This window comes from Homo sapiens, chromosome 4, assembly GCF_000001405.40.
Source record: "Homo sapiens chromosome 4, GRCh38.p14 Primary Assembly".
NCBI lineage: Eukaryota > Metazoa > Chordata > Mammalia > Primates > Hominidae > Homo > Homo sapiens.
The window spans coordinates 162394568-162399841 of NC_000004.12; positions in this window are offsets into that span (position 1 = coordinate 162394568).

Sequence of the window (5274 nt, forward strand, 5' to 3'; positions counted from 1 at the left end):
ATCATGTTAGGACAGAAAACAAGTCTTAAATTTAATAAGATTAACTTCATATCAAGTAAATGGTGTTGAGAAAACTGGATATCAATATAAAAGGAATAAAGTTGGACTTTTATCTCATACATATACTCAAAATTTTTTAAAAATCAACTCAAAGTATATTAAAGACTTAAATAAACATTAGACTTCAAGCTATAAGAATACTAGAAGGAAACAGGGGAAAAAATACATGAAATTGGTCTGAGCAATGATTTTTTAGGTTTGAACCCAAAAGTGCAGGCAATAAAAGCAAAAATAGACAAATGAGATTACAACAAAATCAGAAATTTCTACACAACAAAGGAAACAATAAACTCCATCAATCATTGAAGAGACAACCTACTGAGTGGAAGAAAATATTTGCAAGCTATATATCTGATAAGAGATTAATATCCAAAATGTATAAGAAACTCAAACTACTCTATAGAAATAAACAAATAATCTGATTTAGAAATGGAGATGCTCTTATGCTTAGAAAATGCTAAAGACTCTTCTGAAAAACACTTAGGCTTGACAAATTAATTTAGTAAACTTTCAGGATATAAAATCAACCTGCAAAAATCAGTGGTATTTCTATACTCCAATAACAATCAAGCTAAGCTCAGAACCAAATTAAGAAGGCAATTCCATTTACAGTAGCTAAAAAGAAATTATATACCTAGGAATGCATGTAACTAAGAAGATGAAAAATCTCTACTAGGAAAACTGCAATATGCTGATGGAAGAAATTGTACATGACAAATAAATGAACAAACATCCCATGCTCACAGATTAAGAGAATTAATATCATTAAAATAACCAGACTGCCCAAAGAAATCTACAGATTCAATGCAGTCTTTATTAAAATACCAACATCATTTTTCACAGAATTAGAAAAAACAATTCTAAAATTCATATGGAACCAAAAAGGGGCCCAAATAGCCAAAGCTATTCTAAGCAAAAGAGCAAAGCTGGAGGCAGCATATTACCTGACCTCAAATTATACTACAAAGTTATAGTAACCAAAACAGCATGATACTGGCAAAAAAGAAGCAAAGTTGAATAGAACAGAATAAAGAACCCAGAGAAAAAAAACTGATTATCTACAACCAACTGTTCTTTGAAAAAGTCAACAAGAACATACACTGGGGCAAGGGCACACTTTTGAATACATGATGCTGGGAAAATTTAATTGCCATATTCAGAAGAATAACACTGGACTCCTATCTCTCACCACATACAAATATTAACTCAAGATGGATAAGAGTTAGATGTAAGATCTGAAACTATAAAAATACCAGAAGAAATCTTCTGGACATTGGTCTAGGCAAAGAATTTATAGCTAAAACCTCAAAAGCACAAGCAATGAAAACAAAAATAGACAAGTGAGGCTTAATTAAACTAAAAGACTTCTTCACAGAGAAAGACATAATTAACAGAGTGTACAGGCAACCTACAGAAAGGGAGAAAATACGTGCAAACTATGCATCCAACAGAAAACTGACGTCCAGAATTTACAAGCAACTCCAACAATTCAAGAGCAACAACAACAAAAATTCAATAACTGCATTATAAAGCAAGCAAAGGACATAAATAGACATATTTCAAAAGAAGACATACAAATGGCTAAGTATTTGTAAAAATGCTCCAGATCACTAATCATCAGAGAAACGCAAATTAAAACCACAATGAGATAATATCATACACCAGTCCGAATGCCTATCATTAAGAACACAACAAAATAACAGATATTGGTAAGGATCTGGGGAAAAGGGAATGCTTATACATTGTTGGTGGAAAGTAAATTAGAAAAACTCTATAAAAAACAATTTAAAAATTTCTCAAAGTACTAAAAATAGAACTAGCATCCAACCCAACAATCCTGCCCCTGGGTATCTACCCAAAGGCTAATAAATCTTTATATCAAAAAGATACCTACACTGGTATGTTTATCACAGCACTGTTCACAATAGCAAACATATGGAATCAACCTAAGTGTCCATTAATGGATGATTGGATAAAGAAAATATGAATACTAGTCAACAATAAAAAAGAATGAAATAATGTCTTTTGCAGCAACATGGATGGAACTGAAGGCCATTATCTTCAGTGAAATCACACAGAATCAGAAAGTCAAATACAGCATATTGTCACTTATAAGTGGTAGCCAAGTAATGTGTACACATGAACATAAGGTGCGGAATAATAATTGTTAGAGATTCGGAATGGCGTATGGGTGGGAGGAAGGTGAGGGATGAGAAATTACTTAATGGGTACAATGTATGCTGTTTGGGTGATTGTTACACTAAAAGCCCAGACTTCACCACTGCAGAATATATCTATGTAACAAAACTGTACTTGTACCCCTAAAATTTATACAAATAAATAAATATTTTTAAAATGGGCAAGAAATGAATAGATATTTCTCAAAAGAAGACATAGAAATGGCTAATATACATACAAAATGCTCAACATTGCTATTCTTTGGGGAGAGGTGAATTAAAAGCAGAGTGAGATATCACTTCACACTTATTAGAATGACTATTATCAAGAAAATTAAAAAAATAGCAAGTTTTGGTGAGGATGTAAAAAAAAGGGAACCTTTGTATACTGCTGGTCAAAATGAAAATTAGGACAGCCATTATTGAAAACAATATGGAATTTCCTCCAAAAATTAAAATAGAATTACTGTAAGATCCAGCAATTCAGTTTCTGGGTATTTTACCAAAAGATTTGAAATCAGTATGTCAAAGACATACCTGCACTCCCATGTTAATTGCAGCACTGTTCACAATAGCCAAGTTATGAAATCAACCAAAGTGTCCATCAATGAATACTTAAACCTAAGACCTGAAACTATAAACGTTCTAGAAGATAACACTGGAAAAACCCTTCTAGACATTGGCTTAGGCAAGGATTTCATGACCAAGAACCCAAAATGCAATAAAAACAAACTAATTAAACTAAAGAGCTTTTGCATGGCAAAAGAAACAGCAGAGTAAACAGGCAACCTCCTGAGTGGAAAAAAATCTTCACAATCTATACATCTGACAAAGGACTATTATCCAGAATCTACAACAAACTCAAATCAGTTAAAAAAACACAAACAATCCCATCAAAAAGTGGGCTAAGGACATGAATAGACAATTCTCAAAAGAAAACATACAAATGGACAACAAACATGAAAAAATGGTCAACATCAGTAATGATCAGGGAAATGCAAATCAAAACCACAATCTGATACCACTTCACTCCTGCAAGAATGGTCATAATCAAAAAATCCAAAAACAGTAGATGTTGGTATGGATGTGGTAAACAGGGAACACTTCTACTCTATTGATGGGGATGTAAACTAGTACAGTCACTGTGGAAAACAGTGTGGAGATTCCTTACAGAACTGAAAGTAGAAATACCATTTGATCCAGCAATCCCACTATTTGGTACCTACCCAGAAGAAAATAAGTCATTCAAAAAAGATACTTGCATACCTATGTTTACAGCAGCACAATTTACAACTGTAAAATCGTGGAACCAACCCAAGTGCCCATCAATCAATGAGTGGATAAAGAAACTGGTGTATATATATATACGATGGAATACTACAGAGCCATGAAAACAAATAAATTAACAGCATTTGCAGTGACCTGGATGAGACTGGAGACTATCATTTTAACTGAAGTAACTCAGGAATGGAAAACCAAACATCCTATGTTCTCACTGATATGTGGGAGCTAAGCTATGAGGACACAAAGGCATAAGAATGACTTTGGGGACTTGCGGGGGAAGATTGGGAGGGGGGCAAGGTATGAAAGACTCCAAATATGGCGCAGTGTATACTGCTCGGGTGATGGGTGCACTAAAATCTCACAGATTGGCTGGGCATGGTGGCTCACGCCTGCAATCCCAGCACTTTGGGAGGCCGAGGTGGGTGGATCACCTGAGGTCAGGAGTTCGAGACCAGCCAACATGGCGAACATGGCGAAACACCGTCTCTACTAAAAATACAAAAATTAGCCGTGTATGGTGTTGGGCACCTGTAATCCCAGCTACTCAGGAGGCTGAGGCAGGAGAATCGCTGAACCTGGGAAGCCAAGGTTGCAGTGAGCCGAGATGGCACCACTACTCTCCAGCCTGGGCAACAGAGTGAGACTCTGTATCAAAAAAAATAAATAACTAAAAATAAAACCACACAAATAACCACAAAAGAACTTACTCATGTAACCAAATACCACCTGTACCGTGATAACCAAAGGAAAAATAAAAAAATAAAATAAAATAGTGAAAGAACTTTAAAATAGACATATAATTTTAAGTATCTGATTTAAGTCCTCTTTCTTACATTGAGTTTTCTGTTTAGGAGCAAATAGGCAAGATAAACATATCCCTGTGAAACAATGTGACTATTATCCTCCATCAAGGTCCACTCCTAGTCCCATGGTTCTTTGGACAATTTCTAAATTACATACTCATAGAAATACTCAAAATATTTCTGAGATGCTCTTCATGGAAAGCATTCAATTCCTCATTAAATAGTTATTAATATTTGTTAATAATTGTTAGCTAATATTTAATTAATAATGTTAATTAAATAAATAAAATATATTTGGGAAGTCTCAAAATATGTGCATTAGTCTGTGTTCTCCAGAGAAAAATAACATTTATATATAAATATATATGCGTATACACATATATATCTATATATGAGAGAGAGAAAAATATTTGTTATAAGGTATTAGAATACAGTATAATCTGTAATGCAGGCTGTCCCAAGATGCACAGTCATGAAGCTGGAGATGTAAGAGAACAGATGGTATAGTTCCAGTCCAAGTTCAAAGGACTGAGAACCAGCATAGCTGGTGTGTGTTCCAGAGCCACCCACATTGAGAAAGGTAATATGCCTTACTTAGCATACTGATAACAGTATACAGTGTTAATCTCATCCAGAAACACCCTAACGGACATACTCAGAATAATCTTTAACCAAATATCTGGACCTCCCACAGCCCAGTCAAATTGACACATAAAATTATCCCTCACAATAGATGTGTTTTTGTTTCCTCTAAAATTCCTATCTCTTAAATTTTTTGTTTGTATACATAATAAATGGCCTAAAATGTTTATGGCATATTGTAGCAGACAGATTACGGTAAACAAAAGTTGTCTTTCCCAAAACTTAATAATATTTGTGTTTCTTAAACTTAGACCTAAGAGATTAAACAGGTTTGAATTTAACATTAAGAGCCTGCTCTTATAAACAAA